The 17,839-nt window shown below is 45.2% G+C and overlaps 1 protein-coding gene across 1 annotated transcript in view; it reads left to right on the top strand.

Annotated features, from left to right (window-relative positions):
• Nucleotides 1–14,247, top strand: part of SMARCC1 (SWI/SNF related BAF chromatin remodeling complex subunit C1) — a 196,625-nt gene extending 182,378 nt beyond the window's left edge. Inside the window, exons 27-28 of the mRNA NM_003074.4 lie at nt 8,679–8,855; nt 11,210–14,247. Coding sequence (NP_003065.3) covers nt 8,679–8,855; nt 11,210–11,307 — 275 coding nt within the window. The 3' untranslated portion in view covers nt 11,308–14,247. The remainder of the gene's footprint in view (nt 1–8,678; nt 8,856–11,209) is intronic.

The following is a 17,839-nucleotide window of genomic DNA, read 5'->3' as shown; positions in this document are numbered from 1 at the left end:
ATAATAGTGCCTGGTTTATAGTGTTGTTATGGGGATTGAATGAGTTAACATTTATAAAACTCTTAAATATAGTGCCTAAGGCATAGCACATGTTTCCTACGTAGTTTCCTGAGGCTGCTATAATAACTTTTTTGAGGCAGAGTTTGCTTTTGTCGCTCAGGCTGGAGTGCAGTGGTGTGATCTCTGCTCACTCTAACCTCTACCTCCCGGGTTCAAGTGATTCTCTTGCCTCAGCTTCCCAAGTAGCTGGTATTACAGGCATGTGCACTCCTGGCTAATTGTTGTATTATTAGTAGAGACAGGGTTTCACCATGTTGGCTAGGCTGGTCTCAAACTCCTGACCTCAGGTGATCCGCCCTCCTCAGCCCCCCAAAGTGCTGGGATTATAGGTGTGAGCCACTGCGCACAGCCTGTCAGAATAACTTAAAACAAGAGAAATGTATTCTTACTCTCTGGGAAATCAGGTCCAATATCCAGCAAAGCCATGCTCCTTCCAAGGTATATAGGGAAGAATCCTGTTCCTTGTCTCTTCCAACTTCCGGTGGCTTGCAGCATTCCTTGTCTTACGGCCACGTCTCTCTTTGCTCCATCTTTACATCACCTTCTTCTCTCTCTGTCTTTGTCTCTGTGTGTGTGTGTGTGTGTGTGTGTGTCTCTCTCTCTCTTTTTTTTTTTTTTTTTTTTTTTTTTGAGACAGAGTCCCTCTGTAGCCCAGGCTGGAGTGCAGTGGCGTGATCTCAGCTCACTGCATCCTCCACCTTCCAGGTTCAAACTATCTTCTCCTCAGCCTCCCAAGTAGCTGTGACCACAGGCATATACCACCACACACAGCTGATTTTTATATTTTTAGTAGAGACGAGGTTTCACTATGTTGGCCAGGCTGGTCTTGATCTGCTGACCTCAAGTAATCCACCCACCTCAGCCTCCCAAAGTACTGGGATTACAGGCATGAGCCACTGCACTGGGCCACATACATAGCTTTAATCAATAAAATCTCAGGAAACCAAAGCTCAGGGATTGAGAGAGAGAGGAGGAGACCTGTGAAGGGCGGCAATATGTTCTTCCTAACTTGTTTAAGGCCTCTGTCCAGGTCGGACTTGGTGGAAGCGAGCAACCTGTACCTGTTGATAAACATGGGCAGCATTATTTCTCCTAGTATATGGCTTCCCTTTGTCACAACAAGTCCATTAGGAGTGTTCTTTCGTCTGCAGGCTAGAATATTGTACTTTTTAGTTTTAAAAGTAGGCCTCCTGTTTCCAGCAGCAACAAAATCATCTCCTGTTGTCCTTCACGCCACCTAGAATACCATTAGAGAATCATTAGTAGTGATTTAGAGTGTGGAAAACAAAGCATTGCTTTTATTAATGGCCTAGCAGGTGATGTGGGGTAGGAAGAGAACAAAAAAAGGGCTTCCAAAAGGGAGCTGGGACAGTACCACCTTAAAAACAAAGGTGCCTCTTTGGCAGTTTGTGGAGAATCTTAGAATAGTAAGTCTCTGTTTGCCACTGCTCTATTTGAAACTCTGGGAGTTCTATACCTTCCCTTCACCGATACCTCTGTATTTCACTATATGGCTGCCCAGCCTACATCTGTTCCCAAAGCAAAAAGTTCTGTGTCCTCTTCACGTCATCCCATCTTCACACTCCCAGCAGTCAGATACCAAACCCAAATTCATTTTCCATCTCAGCTCCATGCTCGCCCTTCCTTCTTGCTCTGTCTCCAATCCCGAGGATGCCTCTTTTTACAGAACCTGTGGCTGGGCACAATAGCTCACACCCATAGTCCCAGCAACTCAGGAGACTGAGTTAGGAGGATCATTGAGCCTAGGAGTTTGAAACCAGCCTGGGCAACATAGCAAGGCCCCATCTCTATAAAAAATTAGCTGGCGTGGGCCGGGCATGGTGGCTCACGCCTGTAATCCCAGCACTTTGGGAGGCCGAGGCAGGCGGATCATGAGGTCAGGAAATCGAGACCATCCTGGCTAACATGGTGAAACCCCATCTCTACTAAAAATACAAAAAATTAGCCGGGCGTGGTGGCGGGTGCCTGTAGTCCTAGCTACTCGGGAGGCTGCGGCAGGAGAATGGCATGAACCCGGGAGGCGGAGATTGCACCACTGCACTCCAGCCTGGGCAACAGAGTGAGACTCCGTCTCAAAAAATTAAAAAATAAAAAATAAAATAAATAAATAAATTAGCTGACGTGGTGGTGCACACCTGTAATCCTAGCTACTCAGGAAGTTGAGGCGGGGGCATCACTTCAACCCAGGAGTTCACTGCTTTAGTGAGCTATGACCATACCACTGTACTCCAGCCTGGGTGACAGAGCAAGACCTCATCTCTCTCTCTTTTTTTTTTTTTTTTTTGAGACTGAGTCTCGCCCTGTCGCCCAGGCTAGAGTGCAGTGACGCAGTCTCAGCTCACTGCAACTCCTGCCTCAGCCTCCTTAGTAGCTGGGATTACAGGTGCGTGCCACCACGCCTGGCTAATTTTTTTATTTTCATCATGTTGGTCAGGCTGGTCTCAAATGCCTGACCTCGTCATCTGCCTGCCTCGGCCTCCCAAAGTGCCGGGATTACAGGCAGGAGCCACCGCCCCTAGCCAAGACCTCATCTCTTTTAAAAAAATAAAATAAAAAAAAAAAGAAGGAACTTGCAGAGTGCCATCTCCATCTCCTATTCCTTTCTGTCTCATCAGCCTGACATTCAGCCCATACTTCTCTGCAAAGGCACTTTTTCTCTGCTCTAGGCACTAACTCCTCTGCATCCCTTCTTAAAGCTTTCTATCCTAGCTGGGCATGGTGGCATGCACCTGTAACCCCAGCTACACAGGAGGCTGAGGCAGGAGAATCACGTGAGCCCAGGAGGTCTAGTCCAGCCTGGGCAACGTAGCAAGACCCCATCTTTTTTCTTCTTCTTCTTCTTATTTATTTATTTATTTTTTTTTTTTTGAGACGGAGTCTGACTCTGTCACCCAGGCTGGAGTGCAGTGGCATGATCTCGGCTCACTGCAACCTCCGCCTCCCACGTTCAAGCAATTCCCTGCCTCAGCCTCCCGAGTAGCTAGGATTACAGGTGCCCACCATCACACCCAGCTGATTTTTGTATTTTTAGTAGAGATGGGGTTTCACCATCTTGGCCGGGCTGGTCTTGAACTCCTGACCTCTTGATCCACCTGCCTTGCCCTCCCAAAGTGCTGGGATTATAGGCGTGAGCCACCACGCCCAGCCAAGACTCCATCTCTTAAACATTTTCTAAAAAATTGCTTTCCATCCCACAGAAAATTAGGTTCAAGCTTCTCTTCTTTTCAGAACCTTTCACTAAGTCCTCTGTAGCCTTACTTTTGAAGTCCTCACCCCTTGTTCTACATGCATGACTCCTTTTTGAATTAATATAGCCCTTTTTCCTTTGAATCATGACAGACCCAGCAGTTTTGTTTTGTTTTGTTTTTGTTTTTGTTTTTGGGAAAGAAAAAAAAAAAACCTGGCCGGGTTTGGTAGCTCACACCTGTAATCCCAGCACTTTGGGAGGCCAAAGCAGGCAGATCACGAGGTCAAGAGATTGAGACCTTCCTAGCCAACATTGTGAAACTCGGTCTCTACTAAAAATAAAAAAATTAGCTGGGCGTGGTGGCACGTGCCTGTAGTTTCAGCTATTCGGGAGGCTGAGGCAGGAGACTCACCTGAACCAGGGAGGCAGAGGTTGCAGTGAGTCGAGATCGCCCCACTGCACTCCAGCCTGGGCAACAGAGTGAGACTCCCGTCTCAAAAAAAAAGAAAAAGAAAAAGAAACCTTTATAAGCCTCGGTGTAATACAGATGAAAGATAGTAAGGTACCACAAAAGGGTATGGTATTTATATAGATGCTGCATATAAATGGTACCTCTCAGTAATAATGGGAGTGACATTAACATTATTTTCTGATTGTTTTAACTTAGGCTTGGCTGTGTGTTTATTTTATTTTATTTTATTTTATTTATTTATTTATTTTGAGACGGAATTTCACTCTTGTTGCCCAGGCTGGAGTGCAATGGCTCATTCTCGGCTCACTGCAACCTCCACCTCTCCGGTTCAAGCGATTCTCCTGCCTCAGCCTCCCGAGTAGCTGGGATTACAGGTGCCCACCACCGCATCTCGCTAATTTTTTTGTATTTTTAGTAGAGATGGGGTTTCAACATGTTAGCCAGGCTGGTCTCGAACTCCTGACCTCAGGTGATCTCGCCTCGGCCTCCCAAAGTACTGGGATTACAGGCGTGAGCCATCGCGCCCGCTTGGCCATGTGTTTAAAAAAAATTTTTTTTAACCCGTACACAAACTTTCCTAGCAGATTATTCATAGTAGCCAAAAAGTGAGAACCGCCAGATGTCCTCTTCAGGCTGTGTGGTCCATCCACAGCAGGGAGCACCACCCAGCACTGAGAGGAACAGCCTGTGGCTGCATACAGAACCGGTGACTCTCCAGGAAATTACCTGGAGTGAAAAAAAACCAATCCCAAAATGTTGCAAACGGTGCTTCCACTTATGTAACATTCCTGCAACAACAGGTCAGAGATGGAGAATAGAGGAGTGGCAGCAGGAGTCAGGATGGGTTGTAGGGATGTAGGTATGCAGATCTTATCAAGGTCTACCTGCTGTGCTGCAGCATATCCCCTGGGGGTGGGCCAAGGCACCCAGGATTTCTATTATTTCTTACTGGTTTGTGGATCTACAAGCATGTGGCCTCACAGTCCCGCCACAAGGATGCCTGAGTCCTTGGGTCCCTGCTGTCCCAGGTGTTTTTAGGATTAGTCCTATCCCTAATCCCTTTCCTTCACTTTACTTACATCTCATCCACAATTCCAAGTTACTCACAAATTTTTATTGATCAGCTGGAAAGTCTTCATTTTTTTTGGCTTGCTCCTTCCATAGTTTTTCCTTGGTTTGCCTTTCACTCCTTTATGTGCACTCATCCCTCGTATGCCTTTAGTGTTCTTGCCATTTGTCCCTTTTATCCTGAATCAGTCCCTAGATTGGCAGACTCTTCAACACTGCCTATTTCTGTCCTAGATACACGGCACAAGCACAAAAAGACAAAAATTAATGATGGTCAGTTGGTCCTAGTCGCAGTGTTCACATAGGAGTAGATCCAGCAGCTGCTCTTGATTTTGCCAAAGTGATTTGACCAAGTTATTTTCCAGCAAGCGGATCTCTGAGACTCCTCTGCTAGGCTTTGCGTTACATTATAGAGTGCAGAAAGATGGGCCACAGGGCCCAAAATTCTCTATTATGTACATTCTGGGTCATAATGTTGATGTACTTTGCTTTAAAAAGTAGTCCCTAGAAGACTGGACTACCCTAATTCCTATTTTTTTTTTTTTTTGGAGTTTCATTCTTGTTGCCCAGGCTAGGGTGTAATGGTGCAATCTTGGCTCACTGCAACCTCCACCTCCCGGGTTCAAGCAGTTCTCCTGCCTCAGCCTCTCAAGTAGCTGAGATTACAGGTGCATGCCACTAAGCCCAGCTAATTTTTGTATTTTTAGTAGAAATGGGGTTTCACCATGTTGGTCAGGCTGGTCACGAACTCCTGACCTCAGGTGATCCACCCACCTTGGCCTCGCAAAGTGCTGGGAATACAGGTGTGAGCCACTGTGCCCAGCCCCTTATTCCTAATTCTCATACCTCATTGTAGTTCTCTTCATTGACACCCCTGAAGTAAGGGGCTCCTCTCTCAGGTTCTTAGATCAAGGAACAGCCACTGGAGATAGGCAGGGTGTGGTTTGAAGCTTTGTATGTCTTTGTTTAGATAGACCTCTTTCTATAGTGACAGAGAGTCTGTATTTGAATTATCTTCAGTACTGCTTTGTGTATTGTAATTTGGTCCAATCTCCAAATTTTTCAAGATTAAGCATTCTTATTTCTAGCTGTCTCAGTACTGTCTTCTAACCTATATTCAGTTTCATAGTTGTCCTTACATAGATAGTAAAGTCCCTAGATTTAAAGAAAAACTACATTGATTCTCTTTTTCTTATTCTGTAGAGAATATAATTTGTCCTACATAAAAAAATTTCAGGCCAGGCGCGGTGGCTCACGCCTGTAATCCCAGCACTTTGGGCGGCCGAGGCGGGCAGATCACTTGAGGTCAGGAGTTCAATACCAGCCTGGGCAACATGGTGCAACGCTGTCTCTACAGAAAATGCAAAAATTATCCGGGTATGGTGGCGCACACCTGTAATCCCGGGTACTCGGGCGGCTGAGGCAGAAGAATTGCTTGAACCCAGGAGGCGGAGGTTGCAGTGAGCCAGGATCGCGACACAGCGAGATTCTGTCTCAAAAAAGAAAAAAAAAAAATTAAAGCCTTGATTGTTTCCATTAAACTATTCTTCTTAATTTATTACTCTTTAAAACCAAGACTACGGCCAGGTGCGGTGGCTCACACCTGCAAACCCAGCACTTTGGGAGCCTGAGGTGGGTGGATCACTTGAGGTCAGGAGTTCAAGATCAGCTTGGCCAACATAGTGAAACCCCGTCTCTACTAAAAATAAAAAATAAAAAAAAGAGCCAGGCATGGTGGTGCACACCTGTAGTCCCAACTACTTAGGAGGCTGAGTCAGGAGAATCCTTTGAACCCAAGAAGCAGAGGTTCCAGTGAGCTGAAATCGTGTTACTGCACTCTAGCTTGGGTGACAGAGCTAGACTCTGTCTCAAAAAAAAAAAAAAACAAGACTACCAGCCTGGGAAACGTAGTGAGACCCCATCTCTACAAAAAATTTAAAAATTAGCCAGGCATGGTGGTGCTCACCTGTAGTTCCAGCTACTTGAGAGGCTGAGGCAGGGGGATCGCTTGAGTTTATGTGGTTGAGGTTGCAGTGAACTGAGCTGTGATTGCACCACTGCACTCCAAACTGAGTAGAAAATGAGACTCTGTCTCAACAAAACAAAACAAGCCCAGCAGCCAAATCGCTTGGTTTAAGAACTAGTGAATGTTTACCATCATATCCAAAGCAGGGATCGCCTACAGCCTAGGTTGAAATCTGGCTCATCAATTGTTTTTCATACAGGTTGTAAGCTAAGAGTGGTTTTTATAGTTTAAATGGTTGGAGGAGGATATCAAAAGAAGAATAATGTTTTATGTCTCATGAAAAATTTGTGAAATTAACCTTTTAGGGTTCATAAATAAAGATGTATTTATTAGAACACAGCCACGTCCATTTGTTGTGTATCATCTGTGACTGCCTTCATGCTTACTTTGCAGAGTTGAATAGTTGTGACACAGACCATATGGCTGGCAAAGACTAAAATATTTACTATCTGGCTCTTTATAGAAAAAGTTGGCTAAACATTCTAAAGGGTCAGAAGGCTCATTGTGAAACTGAATACAGGAGGTATTTTAGTGTTCTTCAGTGTTCAATACTGCTTTCTGTATTTTAATTGCCAGTTAGCTATCAAATGGTCCCATCTCCACATTTTTCAAGATCAAGCTTTCTTATTTCTAGCTGTCTTGGTACTGTGTTCTAACCTATATTCAGTTTCATACAGTTGTCCTTACATAGATAGTAAAGCCCCTGGATTTAAAGAAAAAAACTACATTGATTCTCATATGATTCTCATCTCTCAAATGATTCTGTTAGTGTTCATGTCCCTCAGTATTGAACAACAGTATTGAATACTGTAGGGTTTTCTGTCACTAATTAGAAAACAATAGGAAGAGTGGCTCACGCCTGTAATCCCAGCACTTTGGGAGGCTGAGGCAGTCTTACTGCCTGAGCTCAGGAGTTCAAGACCAGCCTGGGCAACATGGCAAAACCCCATCTCTACTAAAAATACAAAAAAAATAGCTGGGCGTGGTGGTGGGCACCTGTAATCCCAGCTACTTGGGAGGCTGAGGCACGAAAATTGCTTGAACCCAGGAGGCAGAGGTTGCAATGAGCTAAGGTCATGCCACTGCACTCCAGCCTAGGCAACACAGTGAGACTGTCAAAAAAAAAAGAAAGAAACAAACAAAAGGAAAGGAAGGGAAAAGGAAAGGGAGAAAACAGTAGGAAGAGATGGAGCTGTCTTTGTTTTCCCTTATGAGTCTATCAGGCCAGTGCTTCATAGTGGGCTCTTAGGAATGATTTTTTTTTTTTTTTTAAATGAACCATACATGAGGCTTTTAATGGGAGAAATATTTGTGGACAGGAATTGGGGATTCAAATCAGAATCCCCTTTTAATGGTGATTTCACAGTAATAATACCCTTTCAGGCAAACCTTCCCTGTAAGCCATGGAGCACAATCTGGACTGAATTGTGGTCCTTTTACTGACTTTTACTTACTGACTTCCTTTTAAAGTCCACTTCATTCCCTGTGGGCTGTGCTTGGCATTGTATATCCTCAGGAAGACATTTGACAATCTACTGCTCACCCAAACTAACCAGAGTGAGTGCTTTATTTTAGGGGACCTTTGCCATTTCTTTTTACAGCCACCTTCTTGCCAGTGTTTAGAATAATCAGTCATTCCACAGACCTACCCCCATTAACACCCTTCTTCCAAAAAACCCAGAATACAAAAAGCTAAACATAGAGATTATTACAGATTATTGCTCTGTTGATATTTCAGATCCTTTGGAAGGTTGGATATTTGTATTTAGGAGTTGGATTTAAGTTGATCCCTTTCTTACACCCCTTTCTAGTATACTTACAGTACTTTAAATCTCCCTCCACAGGTCAGATACCAGGCCCAGGTTCCATGATGCCCGGGCAGCACATGCCAGGCCGCATGATTCCCACTGTTGCAGCCAACATCCACCCCTCTGGGAGTGGCCCTACCCCTCCTGGCATGCCACCAATGCCAGGAAACATCTTAGGACCCCGGGTACCCCTGACAGCACCTAACGGCATGTGTAAGTAACATGGAGGGGGGATGCATTATCTCAGGGTCCGTTCTGGAGGGCTGTAGATAAGGGAAGGAGGCTTTGTTCTCTCCCCGAGATTTGGCAGGTCCATGGATGATGCAGTCTGTGACAGTGGCTTCTCAAAGACCAGTTTTCAGTCTGTGTTCTTCAGCACCCCTGATGGACAGGTGCACAGGTGACAAAATGCTTCTAATCAGGGTTGTGCCTTTATGGCATGCACTGTCAGCATTGGGGCCATAAAGATATTCCTCTCCCACACCTGTTTAAGCCTGTCTTGTTATGACTCTCAACAGACATGTAGAGCTACTGGTGGTGGTTTTCCCTACAGCAGCCTTTTGTGGATACAGGGTTCAAAAGTGATGCGTGTAAAGAAAAGAATAGAAGTGAGTTTAGAGCTGGAATTACAAATATGTTTCTTATAGCCATTTTTGTTATATTAGTAGTGGCTGTGTAGGCTAAGAAAGTAGTATTCAGGGGCTGTGTTGAGAGGAAATACGAAGTTCCAGCAAGCTCAATGAGGACAACACTAGTGCTGCTAAGTGATACTTGTCTGAGGCTGTGTTTAGAGACCAGGTCATTTCTCCCATAGGCTCTTGCTCGGCTTCAGCCTTGGCCTGAGGGTTGTTTCTGAGACCCTGGCCTGCCTTTTACTCCAGAAGGCCTTCCCAGTGAGGATGATGCTGAAATGCAGCCAGTAGTAGGTCAGGTACCCCAGCCACATCTGTAATCTTAGGTTCATGTAGAAGTTCACGTGTGGCCAAAAGTTTAGCTACTATTTATAGTTCAGAGAGATAGGAAGCATAAGAATTCTTGCTCTGTAGGAGCTTTAGTTGAGAAAACAAGAAATGAAAACTTGGATAGAACTTAGCAAATGAAGGCATATAGAACTTACCAAAGGTTACATGAGACTGTGATGTGCCTTAAGTACACTCTAATACTCTGGGAGGCTTCATGGACAGAGACATGTCTGACTCTTCTCTGGCCCCCAGAGTCTGGGACAAAGTAGGTGCACAGAAGAAAGACACTAATTTATCTAGGTATATAAGATCACAACAACTTTTTAAAATTATCTCCCTTAAGCTAGTGGTCAGTGGTTGTGTAGTACAGTAGGTACCTCTTTTTCTTGGCAAGAAAATGTTTGCCAAGCCACCCTGTGGACCATACATAAATGAGCTCGCCTATCAAGAGAGTTGACCAGTTTTCCATCCCTATTGCAGAGGTAGTATCACTGGTCTTTACCAATTTACCACTGTCATGTCCTGCTGGTCACCCATGTTTTGTACTTCAGGATTCCTTCCCAAAGGGACCTCAGTAGAGCTCCTTGAGAATGTGGAGGGTTTCAGGTGGAACCTTCCCACCTGCTGCCTGGTTCCTGCCATAAGTCAGTGCTCTGGAATTCTGAACCATGTGAATTGGTTCTAGGATACTAGGTAGGCCACACTGGATGAGTTGCTTCTCCACTTCAGCCCTTCATTTCCTCCACTGAAAGATGACACAAGGGATTAGATCAGTGAGCTTCAGAATGCTTTCAAGAGTCTTAAGGGTTTGGTAGAAACCTCTTGGGCATAGAGTTGGGTGAATTGATTGGTGAGCAATGCTGCACTTTATTTCATATGTTTTCAATTCTGACAAGATCTAGGGGTTTTTAAAACCCGGATTAAATGATCTCTCGGGTTCTTTTGTACACTAAAGCAGGTAAAGTTGAAATAGGAAAGAGTCCCAGACACTCATACTAATTGTTCCCTTCAGGACATGACCTAGTTTGGGCCAAAAATCGAAGGACTGCAGTTCAGGAGCTGTGGAGGCCTCCCTGGACTATCCAGTTTGTCAGCAACTGCCTCAAGTGAAGCTCTCTGGCCCTGGTGGAGACATTTATATAGCAAGAATTTATTGATAATCTATTTTGTGCCCAGCTAGGCTAGGGACTGTGGGGGCGGGGGGGGGGCGGGAAGAAAAACAAGACATAGAACTGTCCCAGGAAGGAGCTTATTTTTTAACTGAAGAAATAAAATTAGAACCCTTGAAATACAATGCAATCAAAATTAACTTCTGAAAGGGCCTGGAGCGATTCTTGGAAGGAGTTGGCCTGGAAGGAGGGTGGGGGAAATTCAGACACCTCCCACTCCCCAGCCACTAGGGTTAGGCTAAGCAACTTGAGCAGTGCCCTAGAGGTTCAGAAGGAATTGACTTGCATAGACCACAGTGGAATCAATGCCTCACAGGGTGCATTGGTTGCCTGCCACTAAGGAAAGGACTTCTGTGTCTTTTTTTCACTGAATAGGCTCTTTCCTGAGTCTCTTGTATTTCCAGCAATAACGAGTTACTCTTGGATATGTTTGCAGATCCCCCTCCACCACAGCAGCAGCCACCGCCACCACCACCTGCAGATGGGGTCCCTCCGCCTCCTGCTCCTGGCCCGCCAGCCTCAGCTGCTCCTTAGCCTGGAAGATGCAGGGAACCTCCACGCCCACCACCATGAGCTGGAGTGGGGATGACAAGACTTGTGTTCCTCAACTTTCTTGGGTTTCTTTCAGGATTTTTCTTCTCACAGCTCCAAGCACGTGTCCCGTGCCTCCCCACTCCTCTTACCACCCCTCTCTCTGACACTTTTTGTGTTGGGTCCTCAGCCAACACTCAAGGGGAAACCTGTAGTGACAGTGTGCCCTGGTCATCCTTAAAATAACCTGCATCTCCCCTGTCCTGGTGTGGGAGTAAGCTGACAGTTTCTCTGCAGGTCCTGTCAACTTTAGCATGCTATGTCTTTACCATTTTTGCTCTCTTGCAGTTTTTTGCTTTGTCTTATGCTTCTATGGATAATGCTATATAATCATTATCTTTTTATCTTTCTGTTATTATTGTTTTAAAGGAGAGCATCCTAAGTTAATAGGAACCAAAAAATAATGATGGGCAGAAGGGGGGGAATAGCCACAGGGGACAAACCTTAAGGCATTATAAGTGACCTTATTTCTGCTTTTCTGAGCTAAGAATGGTGCTGATGGTAAAGTTTGAGACTTTTGCCACACACAAATTTGTGAAAATTAAACGAGATGTGGAAGGAGAACCTCAGTGATTTTATTCCCTAGTGAGGCCTCTGAGGGCCTCCACACTGCCTGGCAGAACATACCACTGAACTAGTATGTGCTAGAGGAGGGCACAAACATCCGCTCCTTCCCTAGGCCTGCTGGCTCTGGTTTTCTATGCAGATGATTCATTGGATTGGGGGTGAGTGTTTTGTTTTTCTGGGGGCAGTGTGAGCTTTGAGGGTTGGAATATTGGGAGGCATTCCTTAGTTTCCTCAACTAGCCTGGAAAGTTAGGAGTCTAGGGTAATTACCCCCAATGAGTCTAGCCTACTATTCACTGCTTTGTGTGCATTTTTTTCTCCCTCTTTAAAAAACCCTTTAAAAGAAAAAAAAAAGTAGATAGTGCTAAATATTTTAGCTCATGAAACTTGGTTAGGATGGCTGGGGGTACAAGTCCCCAAACTACCTCTTGTTACAGTAGCCAGGGAGTGGAATTTCGTCAACCGGTACTTTTAAGGTTAGGATGGGACGGGAAAAGTGAAGCAGGATATTAGCTCCTTATACCTTCTCCCTTCCATTTCTGAGATCTCACATTCCATCTATCACAGGGTTTTCAAAGAGATGCTGAGGGTAACAAGGAACTCACTTGGCAGTCAGAGCATCATGCTTTGAGGTTTGGGGTGCTCAGGCTGGGAGGGTAGAATGCCATTCCAGAGGACAAGCCACAAAAATGCCTTAATTTGAGCTCGTATTTACCCCTGCTGATAAGTGACTTGAGAGTTCCCGGTTTTTTCCTCTTGTCCTTCCCTCCCTTCTGTCCTTCCATGTGTGGGGAAAGGGTGTTTTTGGTAGAGCTTGGTTTCCAAAGCGCCTGGCTTTCTCACTTCACATTCTCAAGTGGCAGTTTCATTATTTAGAATGCAAGGTGGACATCTTTTGGATATCTTTTTCTATATATTTTCTAAAGCTTTACATATGAGAGGGTATAGGGAGGTGTTTATAAAACACTTGAGAACTTTTTTCCTTAATATCAGAAAGCAAAAAAATAAAACCACAATTGAGATTTGCCTTTCAAACCCTCAGGTTTGCCTCTAACCAGGTGTCCCTGGTCACCATCAGAGTACTGGAATACGGGAACCGAGGAGACCTTGGTCCTTTTGTTTTTGTTCTGGACTCTTGGGAGTGGAAATGAGAATGAGTTTATTCCTACTGGAGCTTAGTTCCAATGCATTTGGCTCCAGAAAGACCCCAGTGCCTTTTGACAATGGCCAGGGTTTTACCTACTTCCTGCCAGTCTTTCCCAAAGGAAACTCATTCCAAATACTTCTTTTTTCCCCTGGAGTCCGAGAAGGAAAATGGAATTCTGGTTCATACTGTGGTCCCTTGTAACCTCAGGTCTTTAATGTGATCACTTTCAAATTTAAAAGATCCAGGTGGAAATATTTTTACTATAGTAATAATTCTACAAAATACCTGAATTCTTAACACTGTTATATTTCAGTATAAGTGGTGGCTTTTTCTTTTCATGTCTTTGATCTGGTTTTATTCCTGTAATTCAGCCACCTGATTTTGTGAGGGGGGGGAATAATATGTGGTTTTTGTACAAACATGTTTCTCAGTGTGTTGTTATTTTGGAAAAAATGAGGGGAGGGAGTTTGGCAAGAATGGAGAAAATGAATGAAGAAGGCCTAATCTCTCTCTTTTTCAGTGAATAAATGGAACACCATTTCTGGATTCTAGTCCCATTCTCTGCATTCATACACCAGTTTCTTCATATATCCTATGAAGAACCTAAACATTTGGCCCCACCTGGTCTTGGTTTGATCAGCAGTTAAAATTCTGTGACTCGGGCTTCCTTCCCGACTGCCCACCTTCATGATGTGTAAGGAACATACATTTTGAGGGTACCTCACCCACTGTTCATTTGCATGGTCAAAGTGAAAATGAGTGGAAGTTCTCCAAAAATGATGGCCAACATCCTGGCACCTCCAGGTGTGAGAAATAGCTTTGCTTGGTGAATGGGATAATGTTTGTCAGGATGCAGTTTAGACAGTCCCAAGTTGGAGGCAGGCCTTGAGGGCAGAAGATTCTGTGAACCTTGGGGGACAGCTTTTGGGTACTCACAGATATAAACCCTGTGCAGAAAAAAAGAAGTGATTGTTTTCAGGATGCTTATAAATCGAGTGAAGCAAAAGAAGAGGATTCTGTGTCTGCCATGAGATGAACGCCCTGCTCTTCACGAAGGTGTGCCTCTAATAAAGAGAGCCAAAGCCAGCTGGGTCTCACCAGATTCCTATACTTTCTCAAGGATGTTGGGGGAGGTTAATCCTTTATCGAAACTAAAGACTGGTTTATAAACTTGTGTGTGAATTATTTTTAGAATATTGGAGGACATGCAAGATCAACCAGTCTTACATAGGTTCCCTGGGTCCTTACCATGGAGTAATTCCCCCACATTCAATTAAGAATAGTTTAGGCTGGGTGCAGTGGCTCACGCCTGTAATCCCAGCACTTGCATTTTGGGAGGCCGAGGTGGGCTGATACCTGAGGTCAGGAGTTTAAGACCAGCCTGGCCAACATGGTGAAACCCTGTCTCTAGTAAAAACAAAAAATTAGCCAGGCATGGTGGCACGCACCTGTAATCCCAGCTGCTCAGGAGGCAGAAGTTGCAGTGAGCTGAGATCACGCCACTGCACTCCAGCCTGGGTGATAGCGAGACTCCATCTCAAAAAATTAAGTTTATTTTTTTAGAGGTGGGGTTTTGCTCTGTCACCCAGGCTAGAGTACAGTGGCACGATCATAACTCACTGCAGCCTCAACCTCCTGGACTCTAGTGATCTTCCCACCTTAGCCTCCCAAAGTGCTGGGATCACAGGCGAGAGCCACCACGCCCAGCCAAATTTTGCATTTTTAACAAGTTCCCAGGGGATGCTGATGAAGCTGGTCAAGGAACCACCCTTGGAGAACCAGTGGTTAAGAAGGTCGTATGATAGAGCAAGATCCCTATAGTTCCTTACAGTTTATTGTATGAGACCTTTCATACAGTAAACATTTGAGGGGCTACTATGTGCCAGACATTGATCCATTAATACAGTGTAATTGCAGTTGTGAATACAGTAGGCAGGACCCATGCCATCCAGGCCACTTATTCTAATGGGGTGGGGTACAAGACCATAAACGGTTAATAATATTTTGCATACTTCCAAGTGTTCATGAAGAAAATGAAACAATGCAATTAAGAGTTTCCTGGGGACAATGTGGATAGTCTGTGAATTGGGTGGTCTCCCATGATTTCTGTCCTGCTGGATATGGTAGCCTGAGGGGTTGACCTTCATTCCAGAAAAACATCCATCTGAATACCCAGAGCACCCTTTTGTCTATATAATGCCAGTTTGTGAGAGTACTCTGCAAACTGCTCTGCCTGTGACTATTACAAAACCCCTGCTTTCTACAGTTCCAAGAGCATAGTTCTTTCGCTCCCGTTAAAGGGGGATGTCTTCCTGGAAACAGTGTGAAAGCACCCTCAATCCCCTGTTGATGGATTATCTCCATTTAAGGAGGTGGTCTCAGAATGGGATGCAAAGGTATATCCCTGAAGGAAGTGCTACCTGCCTTCAGGCCCAAACCTCCTTTGTTGGATCTCCTTGTGAACAGCTCCTCCCCCCAGCTTCATTTCCCTGTGGCTTGTTTTTAGGCATGCCAGCACTCTGGCCATTAGGAAACACGTGATCCTGAAGTCCTTGGGACAAAGTTGAGGCAAGACTATCATACCCAAAGGGTGACTAAAGGGATAGAGAAGGTGCTATGAATCAACCTAAACAGAGGTTCCAAAACCAGCTGCAGCTAGCTAGCTAGCTCTAGGACCACCAATTCCTGTTCCAGCCCTATTGCAATTCTTATGGAACCCCTGCCTGTCATGCAGAATTGTAGTCATCTTTACTACCACTGCCCCCAAAGGCCTTTCCATGCGCTTTTAACCTATAGAGGGCAGCCAGTTGACTAATTCTGACAGCAACTTTACCCTTCAGGGGAGATAATCCCACCACCCCTCTGGAAAATGGCCATGCCTTAATACAGTGTGACAACCACCTTCAGACAAGTGACAAGGAAAATGCCTCCTGCTCTGGTTCTGTGGTAATCTACCATCTAAGGTGCCTTCTTGGGGCAGTTGGTCCAGAAGAATGTAAGGAAGTGGCAGCAGTCTTGGATGATGATAGCCACTCAGTTTCATTCTGATCCTCCCTAGCAGATTTCTATAGCAGTTTCAGAACTGGGCAGGTGGTAGAAGGTGGGTCCAACCAAACCGGCCCAGGCTGATTGATGTGTCTGGTTTGTTTCAGACATGGATGAGTTTCCTGTGGCATCCCTGTTTACAGTCAGCTTATTCCACAGTAGCTACAGGATGCCCGAGAAGTGCTTAGGTCACCTGCTGAGGCAGCAGGTCTCTTCTGCAGACAAACTTAGTTGCTTGGCCGTGCGCGGTGGGCTCACACCTGTAATCCCAGCACTTTGGGAGGCCCAGCTGGGCAGATCACCTGAGGTCGGGAGTTCAAGACCAGCCTGGTCAACATGGCGAAACCCTGTCTCCACTAAAAATACAAAATTAGCCGGTGTGGTGGTGCATGCCTGTAATCCCAGCTACTCGGGAGCCTGAGGCAGGAAAATCACTTGAACCCTGGAGGTGGAGGTTGCAGTGAGCCGAGATCATGCCATTAAACTCCAGCCTGGGCAACAAGAGCGAAACTCTGTCTCCAAAAAAAAAAAAAAGTTGCTCCACATGGTGAGGCCCTGTGTTTGCTTGTGCTATGTGGCTTTCTCCCAGCTGGTTTGGCTTTGGGGTAATGAAATTCAAGAGGCCTTTCCAATCTGTTTGCAGACCCATTGCCTGAACAAGATTATCACCTTCAGGTTGTGATGTCCTTAGATGACAGCACTTGCTCAACTGAGAATCCAGAGTTTTCTGCAGTCCAGAGGTGGTGGTCAGCACAAAGAACTCAGACCCCCTACCTCTTAGCCCTTCCCTTTCTGGGGGATGGTGTAAAGAGGCACATCGCGTAAAATGGTCACAGAGCAGATTGCCATGCAGCCTAGAACCAGGAGTCTGGTCTTGTTGCTGTGTTCCCTGGTAAGAGATCATGGCATTATTTCTTAAATGGCTAAGTGAAGGTGGGAGAGTTGGGGAGGGGAGGAGGGAGGTCCTCTGTTCTGCCAATTAATAGTCTACCTCTGTGTCCTGATTCCTCTTCTCAAGCAGGAATGAAAAGCCTCCATATTAAAACGAAAGGGTTTGGAATCAGGGTCTTAGTTCAAATCCTGTCCTTACCACTTCACTAGCGTACTCTTGGACAAAATTGCTAATTCTCTCAGTTTGCAGATGTGTAAAATAGGACTGACGATATTTGTAGTGTGATTGTGAAGAATAAGGCAAATTAGCACAAGGAAAACTAAAAACTCAATATGTTTGTGTTAGCCTGTTTGTGTTGCTATAAAAGAATAAAGAATATCTGAGATTGGGTAATTTATAAGGAAAAGTGTGTTTGGCTAACGGTTCTGCAGGCTGTACACAACATAGAGCCAGCATCTGCTTCCAGTCAGGGCCTCAGGAAGCTTACAATCTTGGCGGAAGACAAAGGGGAGCCAGCATCACATGGTGAGAGCAGGAGTGAGAGAGAAAGTACTAGGTTCATGTAAACAACCAGATCTCACATGAACCCATGAAGCAAGAACTCATTACCTCGAGCACCAAGCCATTCATGGGGAGTCCACCCCCATGACCCAAACACCTCACACTAGGCTCACGTCCGACACTGGATGTCACATTTCAGCATGAGATTTGGAGGGAATAAAACATCCAAACCATATCAATGTTAGTGGTTAATACTGAGGACTTAAAGCCAGGAATTTCCAGTCCACACAGCTATGCCCCCAGCCATGGCAACTGGAGCACTCC

The sequence above is a fragment of the Homo sapiens genome, chromosome 3 (genome assembly GCF_000001405.40).
Source record: "Homo sapiens chromosome 3, GRCh38.p14 Primary Assembly".
Lineage (NCBI taxonomy): Eukaryota > Metazoa > Chordata > Mammalia > Primates > Hominidae > Homo > Homo sapiens.
This window is presented reverse-complemented; position numbering and strand designations above follow the sequence as displayed.